This window comes from Homo sapiens, chromosome 6 (assembly GCF_000001405.40).
Source record: "Homo sapiens chromosome 6, GRCh38.p14 Primary Assembly".
Taxonomy (NCBI): Eukaryota; Metazoa; Chordata; class Mammalia; order Primates; family Hominidae; genus Homo; species Homo sapiens.
In genome coordinates this window covers 155,513,799-155,530,581 of record NC_000006.12, presented here as the reverse complement: position 1 = coordinate 155,530,581, position 16,783 = coordinate 155,513,799, and the positions used below count along the sequence as shown (strand labels likewise).

The 16,783-nt window shown below is 38.7% G+C and overlaps 1 long non-coding RNA gene across 2 annotated transcripts, besides 1 other annotated feature; it reads right to left on the bottom strand.

The window, feature by feature from the left end:
• Window positions 1–4,563: 4,563 nt before the first annotated feature.
• Window positions 4,564–15,738, bottom strand: LOC105378068 (uncharacterized). Of its 2 annotated transcripts, none has more exons than NR_134597.1 (3): window positions 15,634–15,738; window positions 15,288–15,334; window positions 4,564–4,944 (listed from the first exon to the last, which is right to left on the bottom strand). It is a non-coding gene; the product is annotated as an uncharacterized LOC105378068 (long non-coding RNA). The 2 variants fall into 2 exon arrangements; NR_134596.1 differs by lacking the exon at window positions 4,564–4,944 and adding an exon at window positions 6,478–7,047.
• Window positions 6,350–6,926: an enhancer, noted in NCBI's record as "OCT4-NANOG hESC enhancer chr6:155844790-155845366 (GRCh37/hg19 assembly coordinates)". NCBI's record gives its function as "activates a minimal SCP1, AML or CMV promoter by ChIP-STARR-seq in naive and primed H9 embryonic stem cells {active_cell/tissue: H9 hESC(naive and primed)}" and the evidence as "EXISTENCE:reporter gene assay evidence [ECO:0000049][PMID:30033119]".
• Window positions 15,739–16,783: the final 1,045 nt, after the last annotated feature.

The following is a 16,783-nucleotide window of genomic DNA, read 5'->3' as shown; positions in this document are numbered from 1 at the left end:
GGATATTCTTTGAAGCCCTCTGGCTATAATTCATGCAAACACATTCAAAATATATAACTGAAAGGCAAATGTGACTACTCTCTGGACTTCATGGCTTGTCACTGAACACACGTTCACAAAACCTGAGCATGTCCCAGCATCCAGAATCCACAAGATGGCATTAGTGTTCACTTTTTTCCCCCGTTTTAAAGCAGTTAATTTTATGACTGTCACTAAATTGTCTTTTTTTTAAGAAAAAGATAAATATTTTTCCTCTCCTGAGATATTTCTTAATATGATTAACAATGATTAATTTGATATCTTTGGAAAGACTTGAAGTAAAAGAAAATGACTTGCCTGTTCTTCGTATCTGTGTTTTGAAAGTTGATCACCTCATTCCTCCAATTCTATATCTCTCCTCTTTTATAAGACCCAGAGGCTGCACTGTCCAATACAGTCACCAGAAGCCATATGTGCTATTTACATTTATTACACTTAACTTTTAAGATTCAGATCTTCAGGCCAGGTGCAGTGGCTCATCCTGTAATCCCAGCGCTTTGGGAGGCCTAGGCGGGTGGATCACTTGAGGTCAGGAGTTGGAGACCAGCCGGGTCAACATGATGAAACCCTGTCTCTATTAAAAATACAAAAATTAGCTGGGTGAGGTGGCAGGCGCCTGTGGTCCCAGCTACTTGGGAGGCTGAGGCAGGAGAATCACTTGAACCCAGGAAGCGGAGGTTTCAGTGAGCCGAGATCGTGCCACTGCACTCCATCCTGGGTAACAGAGCAAGACAAGACTCCACCTCAAAAAATAATAATAATAATAAGTAAATAAAAATAAATAAATAAATAATAAAATTCAGATCTTTGGTTGCACTAGCCACATTTCATGTGTTCAATAGCCGCATGAGGCTCGTGGCCACCATACTGTACAGAGCAGATATTAAACATTTCATGACCCCAGAAAGCTCTATTGGACAGCACTAACTAAAGAATAATAACTCAGGGACCTGAATCTATATCCAGAAACTGATACGTACAAACAATATCCCCCTGTTGATGATATCTGTCTTTGTGACATTTACATTCTGATATAAAAATAGAGGTGAACAGAACGTTGAAATTTAAATGCAAACTTTCACCCACCTCTGTGTACAGAGTGTTCTAGGAGCATTGCTGCATCCTTCAAAATATTCTCATGTGAGTCGTGTGTTTAGGATGCAAACTACTTTACACAATATTGGGCATCTTCATGACAGCTATTGACGTCTTTAATTATTTTTAACTCCACTTATATTATTGAGCTCAGTGTAGTCATGGCTTTCAGAAGCACAAAAACAAAATAGTAGGGCTGGAAAGGGAGCTGCAGATCATCTGATCCTGCCTTCTTGTATGATTCATTAGGCTGCAAGGCCATAGAATGAGGCATGTGATGTAACAGGAAGTCCTTTGGCCCAGGAGACCAGAAACAAAATCTATTCTGGGAGATCTTGGTTGAACTTTTCTGTACCCAAGTTTCATTACACAGGAAATGAAGGGATTGGGAAAGGTTATTTGCAGGTTTACTTTCAGCTCTCAATGTCTCTCTTGTGTTACATTTAGTGTCAGGAATCAAAGGGGTTTCAAAGTCACAAGATAAAAATAGTACATCTACCTTGAGTATTAATTTTACTCAAAGATTTAAAAAGGAAAAGGTAAGTATGTTGACTGATAAGTGATTTAAAAATTATCTTTTTATCTCTAAAAAATGCAGATGTGTTTTTGGAGGAGATAAAACATAAAATACAAAGAAATATTATGCCAGCACTGAGCTACTTGAGATACACTCCCAAACCCCTTCAGGATTTTCATTCATTCTTTCTGCCTTTAGGGACAGTTTTTAAACATTTGAGAAATGCTTCAATAGGTAATAGCACAGAAGTGAAAAGCCTTCCAATGACAAATTGGGAGACTTCCCTGCTGTTTGATAAGGAATACAAGCTCAGAAATTACAGTTAAATCCGTAACAGGATTAAAGTTCATTCACAAAGAAATACAAAGCAATGATGTAATGCTTAATAGTGATGATGTTGGTAATGATGCCAGAAATCTGGGCTAAATAATTATTAAATTTCATATAAACATAGACTCTGGATTTCCTAGAGGCTAGGTAAAGAGAAAACAGAATGGGTGATATCATTCTCATTTTATAATAAATGAAGAATATAGTCACATAAGAAAAATAGACAAACATTCCCAAACTAAAAAATAAAAAATAAAAAAAATCAGAGAGATTGAATGCAAGTGTGTTTTATAAGAAACATAAATTAACATTGTGTTTAATAGCAATTTTACAAATGATAGAGAGGTATTCTTCATAAAGCCATTTCTTAGATTGACCCTGGATAAAGGTCAAAAACATGTTAATGTATTGGGAATTTGTCGAACCACTTCTACAGAAAGGGAAACACTAATATTCTCCAGGCATATAGCATTTGGGTGACCTAACTTGGAAGAAGGGTAGAGCTTAGAAAATTTGAAGAAATGGATGACTAGAATGCTCACTTCTAATTTTTAAATAACAAGTGCCTTATTACTTATTTTGCCCATTAAAATACCACCAATGCCAAAAGAAAGCCATATCATACCAAAAGGAATGAATTTAGATACACCATCAAATATCAGTTGTTTGAAAGAGAGATGATACAGGAGAAGCATCTATAATGATGTTTCTTGTCCCTAAAAATAAACCACCAACAAATATTAATTATCCAAGATCCTACTGTCAACTAAGATAAAAATATATTGCTAATTCTTGTCTTGGATTTTCAAGTGGCAATGGTGATTAGGTACTAATCAGTAGATAACCTTTCTTCCTTGAATATTTTTTATCGCGGTAAAAAGCACATGCGATTACATTTACCATCTTAACCATTTAAGTGTATAGTTCTGTGGTCTTAAGTACATTCCCATTGTTGTGCAATATATCTGTAGCACTTTTCATCTTGCAAAACTGAAACTTTACCCATTAAACACCTTTTCCCTCAACCCTTGGCAACCACCATTTTACTTTCTTTCTATGCTTTTGACTATCTTAAATGCCTCATATGAGTGGAATTATACAGTATTTGTGCTTTTTAAATTTTCTCCTTTTAATGCTGAATAATAGTCCATTCTGTGTATATACCACATTTTATTTGCCCATTCATCCATTGACGAACATTTGGACTGCTTCTACCTCTTGGCTATTGTAAATGGTGCTACAATGAAAATGTTGCACAAATATCTCTGTGAAATCATTCTTTCAATTTCTTTGGATATATACCTAGAAGTAAGATTGTTGGATCATATGATAATTCTATTTTTGATTTTTTTGAGGAAGTTTCACACTGCTTTCCATAATGGCTGCACCATTTTACATTTTCACCCACAGTACATAAGAGTTTCAATTTCTCTACATCCTTGCGAACACTTATTATTTTCTGTCCTTTTGAAGGTAGCCTTCCTAATGGACAATGGTTGTTTCTATGCTGCTCTATCAACTTTGCCAGCCAGACTTTTGGCAGGGATATTGTACAGCAAGCAATTCAAGATGGAGGATGCTTGAACGATCTCAATTATAGGCTAATAACAGAATTGCAAGGGTTGCAAAAGTCATAAATCTGTACATTCATTTAATTTGAAATGGTGTAATAATGGTGAGTAGTTAAATAGTGGTGCCTTCAGTGTACAGTAGTAGTCATCATTGACGTGACAGCAGCAGCAGCTATGTTGTGAGAAGGAGGTATCTTGGGTCTCCCAGTCCTGTTCATAACACTGTCAAGTCATGGGATAGGGGAAAATACTTAACCACTCTGAGCTCATTTTCCACATTTGTGAATTAGGGATAACAATATCTACTGCACCACACATTGTTGGTATGAGGATTAAATGAAAGTATGTACATAAAGAGTCTGGCACATTATATGCTATCAACAAATGTTAGCTTCTTTACCCTTAATCCCCAAATCCATTTCTCATGCAAGTTAATATATTGAGAGATCAAGACCTGAATTTTTAATAAAATGCTGATACGAAGTTTCAAGAGACATTTAGCAGCTACTGTAATTTTTAGGAAGGCTTTTCTATGGTAGTCTGTACCAGGCATTCAGCCTGCAGAGACCCTGCATGAAGAGAGGTCTACTCAGGTAAGATTTCAGGAATGCTTCAGGAGAAGAGTTTCCTCCACCATTGGGTTTATTATAAGATGGTCAATCAAAAGTGTTGTTTTGAGTGAACCGTTCTAAAGTCTTAAGCAACTAGGTCTGAGACGCTATACTCTTAAGCTCAAATGGACAGAAAGAAGGCCTCACTCTGGTGTCTTTGATAGTCCACCAGTCCATTCTATTTAATAAATGCAATCCATTTTCAACAGAGCAGACAGAGAGGTTTTCCTAAAACATAAACCAAGTTACATCTCACCTCTACTCAAAACTTTCCAGGGTTTCCTACTAGAATTTGTAAAGCTGCAGAGGCAGGGACTTTTTACTGTTTTTTTTTCTTTTTTTTTTTTTTTTTTTTCATTGCTATAAACACAGTACGTAGAACAGTGCCTGACAGAAAACAAGCCCTTAATACCTATTTATTCAATAAATACACACATGAGTAAAGAAATAAGTAAAGTATTCAAATTGAAAGACTTTCTGCATAGTATCCCTGGGTTCTGCTTGAATGTTGTCTTGCATGTTCTTCTAGGCTTTCTTGACTTCGAATCAAGGATTCTGAAAAGTTGTCACTTCCTCTCTGATGTTTGGATCCATAATCAGTGCAGACATCTCTCCCAAAAGACAGCTGGGCCTGAACATTGTGAACTCCTTTTAACTCTTCTCCCAGAGCAAAGAGTTGCTCCAGTTCAGCCCCCAAGTCAGGGTACAGACTCAGGGCCTCAGTGTTGGGGATGAGCAAGTCTAGGATACAATTAGTACTCTCAACCCATCAAAGATGCTCCTTTCACAGATGGAGGCAAACAAGGGTAAGTTAAATAGTCAATTATCTATAATGTTTTGCTCCTTTTTTATAAATAAGTTTACCCCAAGACTTTGAAGGTTACACTTAACTGTATTGAGTTGTTATAAGTTTGATCAGTCATTTCTCTCTTTGGATAAGATATCCTTGCAAGAGTAATGGCCTATCGGGAAACAATTTTCCCAAACCAAGTAATCTAGCAATAGAATTTTATAGGAACCAATTATGTTCCTGACAGCCAGCGCCCCTAAAATTACTGAATCAGTTAAAGTGTGCTTCAAACCTATAATGTTTAACCAACTCTCTACTTGTGACTAGAAAACTAGACTTTTACACACCCACTGGCAGGCTGTGTGTGTGTATGAGAGAGAGACAGAAAGAGCTCTGAACTGGCTTACCCATTAAGTCAGGAATTAGGGATTCTCATTGGTTTGCCTTCAGATAGTTGAAAAATGATCTGACTAATATTAGCTCTAATCATTGCAACCAAGAAGTCTTAAACTCTACAAATGTATGTGGGTGAGTGATCCAGAATTGTTAAAAATAAATTTATTCTCTAAAAAATATATAAGGAGAGTAGAAAGGCTACTAAAGGATCAATGAATGAAGTAGACAAAAAGGAATTCAATGCCTTTGGAATCTAAAATGCACATATATCGCCTGAGAATCTTGTTAAAAACACAAGTGTTCATCCGCCAGGCCTGAATTGGTACTGGGATTCTATACTTCTCACACTGTTACCTGGGCTGGAGTGCAATGGCACGCTCTCGGCTCACTGCAACCTCCGCCTCCCGGGTTCAAGCAATTCTCCTGCCTCAGCCTCCCAAGTAGCTGGAATTACAGGTGCCCACCAACATGCCCAGCTATTTTTTTGTATTTTTTAGTAGAGACGGGGTTTCACTATCTTGGCCAGGCTGGTCTTGAACTCCTGACTTCGTGATCTGCCCGCTTCACCCTCCCAAAGTGCTAGGATTACAGGTGTGAGCCACTGCACCTGGCCAAGATTCTACACTTCTAACAGGTTCCAGGAGATGCTGATGCTGCTGGGCCAGAGACCACACTTTGAGTAATAGCATTTTAGAACATGAGGACGCAAAAGGCCTAGTTTCACAAGTTGAGAAAGAAGCCATCCACACAATTTAGGTTAAGGCCAAAAGTGATTTTAGAAAGTGCATGACTCATTGTTAGTTCATTGTCATGACCATGATTGCGCTGTAGGAAAGAATAATTATTTGATTAGTGCACTATAATTCAAGTTCCCTTCCTCTCACAAGTGTGAATCATTGATACTTAGTCTGGGGTTGCTGCCTTGAGTCTTCACTACTTGAGTTCAAGAGCTACAGGATGAGTATTTTCTCTTTTTTTCTCACTGCTTTTGTGGACACTGAGGGGATGAGTCTTTTCTTACACTATTTTCACATTTATAGGAAAAAGAAACCGATGAGTATGCAGAAACACTGTATAGTTAAAACTGAGTGCCCCGAATGATTGACATAAATAGGGAGAAGCTGTGACTCATCAGAACAACAAAAGCTTTGTTAGAAGTTTGTCTGTGGACAGGATTTGAACTCGAGGAAAAGCTACAGAGTGTGATGAAGCCCCATAGGAAGGCCTGGAGAAGCTCTGCCCCACTTGCAGCCCTGCAGCTTGGTGCTAACTTGCCTCACACATCGAGTGCCAAGACCCATGCTGGGCCATTGTGATCATCCATGTCTCTCCCCCGGGGAATGTTCAGCATCAGAGGCCATGCATTTGACGACAGGGAACAAAAGAAAGGAGACGATTATGTGAGAAAGCTCTGGTGAAAATACCAAATAAAACCACTGAAAAGAAGTTCTTTGGCTTGCTGAAAATTCAGTACTTGAGTAAAATTCATTTAATTTTGAGCCTTCCCTACAGAGTTCTCTTGGCATGCCCTGTTGTGCTGCAGCAGAAAACAAGGCAAAGTCAGAGTTATTTTCCTCACTGCAGACTGAATAGAAGTTGGAATAAACGTGAGTATATCCAGAAACAGCAAATTCACCCACCTACAGTAAGGAGAAGACTCATAGACCTTTGAATTTGGTGGCTTCAGGGGTTGAAGCTCTGCAATAACAAAATATGAATAATGTGTTTAAATAACAACACATAAATACTATGACCCAACATACAGTTCTAGACACATTTATTTTGGTCATGACATATCAAATAGAATACTAAATTGAAAAAAAATGACTTATTCTTTATTCAACAAGTGTTGAAATCAGTGTGGCTTGCCTGAATATTGCAGGATATTTCTATGGGCAGGGTAGACACTTTGTAATAGGTTGGGCTGGAGCCCTGTAAGTATTGGAATGAAATGGGTGGGAAAAATGAAGGACAAAGGAATGCAGTTATGGAAGAAAGTATAAAGAAACCAAGACAGAAGGCCAAGGATTTAACTTTAGGAAATTTTACACTTAGGGGCAGGTGGAGAGAGAAGAACCATGCAAGATCTAGAAAAGGAGTGGTTGGAAAAAACAGAGGAACCACTAGAATATATGGGCACAGAAGCCAAAACAAGAGAACCGCTCAAGGAAGAGAGGTGTCCAACAGCATTAAATGTTCAATAAAGCTGAAGAAGTATGAGCACTAATAAAGGTTGTCAGATTTCACAGTGGCTGGTCATTACCATGAGTATGAGCTTAATTAGATCCAATGAAAATGAGATTAGAAAGGTACTATGGTTTGGATCTGTGCCCCAACCCAATCATGTCTAATTGTAATCCCCAGTGTTAGAGGTAGGGCATGGTGGGAGGTGGTTCGATCATGGGGGTGGTTCCTTCATGAATGGTTCAGCACCATCCCCTTGGTGCTGTTCTAGTGGCAGAGTTCTCATGAGATCTTTTGGTTTAAAAGTGTGGGGCACCTCCCCTCCAACCCCTCCTCCCGCTCCACCCATGAGAAGGGCTTGCTTCCCCTTCACCTTCCACCATGATTTTAAGTTTCTGAGGCCTCCCCAGAAGCTGAGCAGATGTGCCATGCTTCCTCTACAGCCTGCAGAGCCGTGAGCCAATTAAACCTCTTTTCTTTGTGAATTACCCAGTCTCAGATGTTTCTTTATAGCAACGCAAGAATAGACGAATGCCAAAGGGTTAAACTTAAAGGATGATTTGTTGGCGAGGAAATAGAGAAGTTTGGCTTTGTATGAAAGAAGATTAAGCAGAAACAATAAAATTAGGGGTTTTGAGAGCAGAATAGAGAGAATAGGTTTATGTCAACATGACACGGAGGGGATCCATGCCAGGTGGCTTTGGTCTCCTCCTCACAGTAGATGGTGGCAGTGCCATTTCTGAGAGGAAAAAGTGGGATAGTGCTGTAGTGCTGAAACAGTTGGGAAATTATCAAGGGAGGAATACAAAGACTGCTGAGCAAAAACATAGGTAACCTTGGAGGTGGTATAATTTAGTACTGAAATCATCTTAAAAACATATTTTATTTTAAAATACTGTCAATTTCTTTATTACTTTAGTTTTAGCCCTCAAAGAATATCTTTAGAGAACAATGTTTATAGAAAACCCTTCCTAAACAAATTTATTATATTCATCTTTCTGTACATAGCTCTGCTCAGTCAGAATCAGAACAGTAAACATAGAAGAAGACATGGCAGGAAAGAGGCCTGAAGTTCTGCTCCAGCCAATGAGCCCATTCCTTGACTCAGTGAATATGCAACACTATAATTATCACTCTGAGTCATAACCCACTAGCTTCCCTACTCTACCCTTCAGAGGACAAAAAACACATAAAGATCCTACAATCCTCTTAGCATTACATAACCAACCAACAATAGATAAAAATTCCCAGATCTCTTGTTTTGAGGCCCAGTCCTTGTCTGTAACTCAAGCATATCTCTCTTTTTAGCTGGAACTCTCAACAGAGACCTGAGTTCACTCAACATTTGATCTATTTGGCAACTGGTCCACTTAATAGTTAAATCTACTAGGATTTACCAAAGGGATGTGTCATCATTTTTAAATGTTTAGTCTATTCCATAGTTGTGCTACACAAAATAACTCTCAAAAAATGGTTCTATTGATTATTTTATGAAGTATACTTATTCCAAATGGACTCTCTGATTGCCAATTCTACATTGTCTTAGTCCATTTTGGCTGCTATAACAAAATACCATAAATTAGGTGGCTTATAAATAACAGAAATTTATTTCTCACAGTTCTAGAGAACTAGAACTTCAAGGACAAAGTAGAATCAGTATCTGGTGAGGATCCTCTTTCTGGCTTACAAATGGTGCCTTCTTGCTGTGTCCTCCCCTGGTGGAAGGGGCAATGGGCTTTTCTGTAAGGGCACTAATCCCCTTCATGAGACTCCACTGCCATGACCTTATCACCTCTCAAAGACCCCATCCCCTAATACCAACACCTTTGGGGGTTAAGATTTCAACATATGAATTACAAAGAAGAGTGAACAGAAACTTTCAGATCAAAAGTATTCACTAGCTAATTCTTGGTTTTTCTTCATAGGTAAGTTACCGATGTGTTTATATTATCTTCATATAAAGATTTCCTCCTGCCCTGTAGTCACTAAGATGTGTGTGTGTGTGTGTGTGTGTGTGTGTGTGTGAGAATTTTAGCTATCGTTGGTACTGGGCCACCAACACTCTTTTGCTTAGAATCCTTTGTGATAGGGTGTGGATTCATGCAATGTTTGACCTATTTTAAAGTATAGTCTAAATGAAACCATTATTTCTTTTGTATAAAGCTAGTTGCTGATAATGGGATTAAGCCTACAACTTTGGACTCATTACTGCCACATTCAAACTGTCTTAGTAACTCCCAGGGGGCATTATTACTCTGAAATACATTTGGTTATAACTCAGAATACAATCTCATAATAATATATCAGTATTGTTGGAATGCGAAATGCTCTATCAGTATGTCATAAAGCAAGGATACAGGAGCAGGGATTACAAAACAGAGGGACATATAAGCATGCACCAAATGTGTGCAATGGTAAACAACTAGAATGTTGGCTGCTTCTCATGAAGCTGAGGGTCAAAAACTGGCGGAGTGGTCCAAGGTAGTTTATGCTGGTTGACCACTCAGAGCAAAGCAAGAAGGAGATACACAGGCAAGAAGGTAAGACAACAAGAGTTAGAGAAGCAGCAGGGAGAACCTCTTGCTGAGGTCAAGCTCCACCAGTGAAGCTCCTCCTAGGGAGAGGATCAGTTTTTGTTGCAAACCCAACACACTAGAAATTAATGGCATAAAACAACATCCACTCATTATCTATCATGAGTCTATGGATCCACTGGGCAGTTATCTCTCATGACCTGGGTCAGGCTCCGCTAATCTCAGTTAAGCTCTCCTTATGTGTCTGTCTGTGATCAGCTGGTGTGTCGGTCAGGAGCTGTCTGGTCTTGGATGGCCTCACAGTGGAAGACTCAGTTTTTCTCCAGGTTGCTGTCTTATCCTTCCAGCAAATTGGCCTGGGCAAGTTATCACAGTGAGGTAAAGAAAAGAGGCAGAAATATTCAAGAGTTTCTTCAAGACTTTGCTTGCATCTAATTTGCAATTGTCCCATCGACCAAAGCAAGTCATGTGGTTAAGCCCAGAGTCAGTGCGGGAAGGCACTACCAAAGAATGCTGGTGCAAACTGAAACCATTAACACAATCAATATTCCACAGGAAGGAGCTAATATCAGGGCACTGGTAGTTCAGAGCCAAATGATGAAGACAGGTAAATGCACATATATTCAGATAAAGGATAGTTTGGGACCTGATGCATGGAAAGAAAGTATTTAGCTCATAAATACTTGTTCACTTGCTCAAAAGTAATTAAAGAAATAAAGACCATTCAAATCCTGGCTGCACATTTCTACCTGCTAAGGTTTAAAAATGCAACGAGAGACATTTAGGCTAGATATAAAGAAAATCTTGCTGACAATGAGAGTTGTTAAACACTGGAATGGATTACTAAAGGAAACTGTAATTTTCTTTTCTTTCCAAGTACTTAAAATCAGACTGGCTACCTAGTTATCTGGTGTGTGTTCTTGGACAGAAGCAAAAAGATGAACTAATTGACCTTTCAGTTTCCCTCCAGACCTATTATTGTCATGCTGAACCTATTGACACAGTGAAGAAAGAGTTTAACAGCCTGCCTTTTATTCCTACCAGTTAACACACATTTATTACAGTCCCTCTCTGTGCTTGGCACTTTGCTTGGTGTTAGGGATGTAATCCCAACCTTTAAGGAGATCATAGTCTTTGGTCAAAAGGTGGAGCAAAAAATGCCCTGTCTACATTAGTGTTAACACGTAGGGGTGATAGAAGATACTATTTAAAACAGTCAATGTCTTCAAAGGACAAAGGATACTGTGAAAGGAAAATGTTCTTACCCTGGGTCTCTGCCTATCTTTTGTGCTGGCCAGAGAAGCAGAAGACTCTTTTGTTCAACTGAGCCCATTGATGGGTTTGAGACAGACCAAAGGGCTTAGGGCAGAGTTATAGGTTAGGGGCTGCAGAGAGCAGAGTTCTGTGCATAATCAAGTGTGAATTTCTGGCTCTCTAGAAAACCTTAGTGAGAATAGGGGAGAATTAGAGATGAAATTGGAAAGACAAGAATACAAGCATTATATGGGACAATTTAGCCAGTGAGAAATCCTTTGTTTTGTGGTGGCTAAAGGATATTTAAGAATTGAACAATCTAAATTTTTAAAATTCTAACAAAAGGGATTTCTATTCAAACAAGATGACTAGTGTAGACTAGGTCTCCTTGCTTCTCCCTGCTAAGTACAATGATAAACCCTGGATAGAAGGCAGGAGAAAATCAAAGGAGAAGTGGTAAGAGGAAGGCAAACTGATTTGGGACCTCAAGAGGACTGAAGAGTTATATTGTGAACAACACAACCTCAGGGTATCTTGCAACCCCTGCGTAACAGAAGGCAACCCAGGCCTAGCATTTCCCACTCCCAAAACACGACAGAAGGTGGCCCAGGTACCTAACAACATTGGAATCTAGTGGAAGTTCTGCACACAATATCCCAGGAGCCAGGCAGAACCACAGGGACGGAGCCGAAGCCCCAGGGCTAAGAGGTGCCAAGGTAAGTTCTCCCTTCCTTGTGGTTCTTCTCTCTTCCACCTAGAGACACTGTCTGGTGGGGGCATCAGGCACTGTCAAGGAGGCCTCCACCACAGCACCCAGCCGAGGAAGCTCTCTTTGTCTCCCTAGGCCAGAGGTGTCATTCCCTCACCTAGAGACAATGTGAGGCAATGTGAGGTGACAGTCCTGGTGGCCTTCCTTCAGCCACCTTAAGCAGTGCCAGCTGGGAGCTGTACTCCAGCAGCCTACCTTCAAGATGGCTGAAGGATGCTCTTCAGACAGAAATGCAATAAAAATGAAGGTTGTGTTTGTTTGTTTGTTTTTAGACGGAGTCCCACTTTGTCACCCAGGCTGGAGTTCAGTGGTGCAATCTTGGCTCACTGCAACCTCCGCCTCCCGGAGCGATTCTCCTGCCTCAACCTCCTGAGTAGCTGGGATTACAGGCATGCACCACCACACCCAGCTAATTTTTGTATTTTTAGTAGAGACGGGGTTTCACCATGTTGGCCAGGCTGGTCTCGAACTCCTGACCTCAAGTGATGCGCCAACGCCTCAGCTTCCCAAAATGCTGGGATTATAGGCATGAGCCACCGTGCCCAGCCAAATTAAGGTATTTCTGAGCATTAAGAAAGAAGAAAACACAGTGAGGAATGGAATACCATAGGCTGTCCTCATGAGCTTCCTAACATCCATGCTATGATTGAAACAAAAATTATAACCCCATCTAATAATTAAGGCAATGATATTTAAAAATGGGAAAGGTAGAGGGTAAATGGGCGTAAAGCTTCCACACTTAACTTGTAAGTGCAACACGTTGATGCTAGTAGTCTGTGATAAATCATAGATGTAAATTTTCATACCCAGAGCAACCACTAAGAAAACTATACAGAGTGATGCACTCAAAAGTCCCAGAGATGCTGCCGGAGGGCTTAGGTGGGTCTACAGATGCCAGTGAGACGCCAGCCCTAGCTGGTTCTTGACACCATTATAACAAAGAATTCAGGGAGGAGTCAGAATGAAATGAAAAGACAAGGAGCTTTGACTGCAAAGTGAAAGTACGCACTCAAGGGCGGGGCTGCAGGCGTACTCACGACAGAGTCATGCACGATGGAGTTTGGGTTACTAATGTTATAGGCTCTTCTAATTAGGGGTAGAATAATCTGGAGATTTTCTAGGAAAAAGGCAGAAATTTCTGAGAACTAAGGGCCCACCCATTTTTACGCTAAATATGGCCATGCTTGAATCTGTCATGGCAATGGTGGGTGTGTGATTTAGTATGGTAATGAGCATATAATTAGGACTTTGGTAGGGCATGGATCAAATCCAGTGCCTCGCTGGACCCAGCTGGTGTCAGCCAGCTTAGCCTCTGTCCTGTTTGTTAGGGTCTTCTCAGCCCAGGCTCGCCCTTGTCCTTATAGCTAATTTTTAACAGTTCCTTTCTTGCTGTTATGTGAAATTGTTCCTTGATATCTTTCCGTTTTTCCTGTGGCCACCCAGCGTTCCTATTTTATGGATATTTCTTTAATGAGGGGGTGCAGTAATCACTAGGTATTCTGGAAAAGGAGGGGATTTCAGGGACCCCTCCCCCACTTACCACCCACCTTCTCCCTCATTTGGGTTTACCTGGAACAGTCATGGACAAGTCACCTTGACCAGAGTTTTGGCCATTTTCTTTCCCTTGTTTTGGATTTTCTGTTATTGTGTGGTTTCTTTGCCTGATTCTTGTTTTAGTTGTTGTTTGGGGTTTTTCCATCCCCCTGAAACCACTCAGTGCTATTCCTATCTCAAAAATGCATCAAGGTAGAATTTTTTTTTAAATGTTCAATAACCCAGAGGAAGGAAAGAAAAAAGAAAGAATAAGAACAGAGGAAACAAACAGAAATCAAAAAAATAAAATGTCAGACTTAAGCACTAACATGTCAAAAATTAGTTTAAGGATGAATGGTTTAAATACAACAATTAAAAGGCAGAAATTGGCAAAGTAGATAAAATAAAAAGTGACCCAACTATATGCTGTTCACAATAAATATACCTAAAATTTAAAGACATAAGTAGGTTGAAAGTAAATGGATGGAAAAAAATAAATCATGAAATGTTATTTAAAACAAAAACAGGAGTGGATATATTAACGTCAGACAAGGTAGATTTAAGAGCAAGGAAAATTATATAGTCAAAGACATTACATTATGATAAAAGGACAAATGCATCAAGAAGACATAATGATCCCAAATATTAATACAGTAAACAACAAAACATCTAAATTCATGAAACAAAATTGATAGAACTGAAAAGAGAAATAGACAAATCCACAATTATAGTTGGGGCCATCAACACCTCCCTCTCAGCAGTTAATAGAACTACTAGACAGCAAATCAACAAGGCTGTAGAATACCTAAACAACACAATCTAATTGGCCTGTTTAGAGCACCTCACCCAAAAACACACATCTTTTTATGTGCCAATGGAATGTTCACTAAGACCACATCTTGAGCTACAAAACAAAAGTTCCACAAACATATAAAAATTATACAGAGTATATTCTCTAATCATCATAGAATCAAGCTAAAAATCAACACCAAAAATAAATTATGGAAAAATCTCTAAACATTGGGCACATGCCTGTAGTCCCAGCTACTCAGGAGGCTGAGGCAGGAGGATCATTTGAGCCTAGGAGTTCAGGGCCAGTACGAGCAACATAGTAAGACCCTGTCTCTTAAAAAAAAATTGTTTCGGTTAGGCACTATGACTCACGCCTGTAATCCCAGCACTTTGAGAGGCGAAGGCAGGTGGATTGCTTGAATTCAGATGTTCAAGATCAGCCTGGGCAACATGGCAAAACCCCCTCTCTACAAAAAATACAAAAAATTAGCCAGGTGTAGTGGTGCACACCTGTGGTCCCAGCTACTCTGGAGGCTGAGGTAGGAGGATCATTTGAGCCCAGGAGGTGAAGCTTACAGTGAACCAAGGTCATGCCACTGGCACTCCAACCTGGGCAACAAAGTGAGCCCCAGTCTCAATAAATAAGTAAATAAATAGAAAAAATTTTTTAATAAATTGTTTTAAATAAAAAATATTAAAACACTTGGAATTTAATAATACACTGTAAATAATTTATGGGTCAAAGAGGAAGTATCAAATAAAAATTTTAAAAACACATAAAACTAAATGAAAATGAAAATACAATATTTCAAAATATGTGGTATGCACCTAACAGAGTACTGAGAGGAAAATTTATAGCACTAAATACTTACGTGAGAAAAGAGGAAGATCTCAAGTCCGTAAGTTGCACCTCTAGAAACTAGGGGAAAAAAAGTGAAATAAACTCAAATCCAGCAGAAAGAAAGAAATCATAAAGATAAGGCAAAAAGTCAGTGAAATTGGAAAGAGGAAAACAATAAAACAAAAAGCTTGTTCTTAAAAAAATTAATAAATCTCTAGCAAAATTGACAAAAATAAGAAAAGAGAAGACAAAAATCTCCAATATTAAGAATGAAATAGGAGATAACAATACAGACACTATACTTATTAAAAAGATATTAGGAAAATACTGCAGAACAATATACTTCTGAAAAAGTATAAATCTGAAAGAGCCAATACTTCAAGATGGATCCCGAATGGCTAACTGGATATAAACTCAAAATAGACTTAAGCAGCCATTTGCTGATTGGAGGTCACACAAATACTCTGAGTTCCCTCCAAAATTCAACCTTTTTATTACTGGAACTTTCAGAGCTCACCTGAACCAACCAATCAGAACTTAGCTGCATTGACCAATCAGCACTAATCAAGTTTCAATCCTTCATTTGCATAAATCGACCTGATTGGGAACCTGGGTTGGGACTTTATAAATACATGAGCCTTTCCTTTGTTCTCTGGAATGCTCCTTTGTTTTATACTAAAGGCTGCTTCTCCCTCATTTGCAAACTGTTCACTGGAATAAAATCTCTTCCTTCCAAATTCCTTTTCAGAAAACTTCTGTTCACGTACTCATAAATTCAACAGCTTAGAAGACATGGGACTATTCCTCAAAAACCACAAACTACCAACTCAATCAAATAAAAGAGATAGCCATATTATAGTGCTATAAACCATTAGAGAAATGGAATTTGCAACTGAAAAGCATCCAGTAAAGAAATCCTCAGGCCCAGATTGGTTCACAGGAGAATTCTTACAAATATTAAAAGAATTAATACAAAGTTTATACAATCTCTTCCAGAAAATAAAAGAGTAGGGAACATTTCCCAATGAATATTGTTACTATGATACCGAAAACAAAGATAATACACACACAAAAAAAGAAATTTACAGACCAGTATCTCTTAAAACCTACATGCAAGAATTCTCAACAAAATAACAAATCAGACACTAAAGTGGATAAGAATTATAGGTTATACCTAATTAGAATTTATTTCAATTATGTGAGGCAGTTCAACATTTGATAATCAATCAACATAATCTACCACAGTAACAGATTAAAGAAGAAAATTTGTATGATCATATCAATCACGCATAAAAAGTATTTTTTTAAAGAGTCAAAAACTCATTTATGATTTTAAAAAAAAACTTTAAGTAATTTAGGGAAAATAAAAGGCAAACTAATTCAGAAATAGGCCCAAGAGACATGCTCAGATGCTTTTTGACAAAGGTGCAAAATCAATTCATGGAGGACAGCTAATGTTTTTAACAAATAGTGATGGAGCAATTGACCATCTATAAGAAAAGAAAGAAAGAAAGAACTTCAACCTAG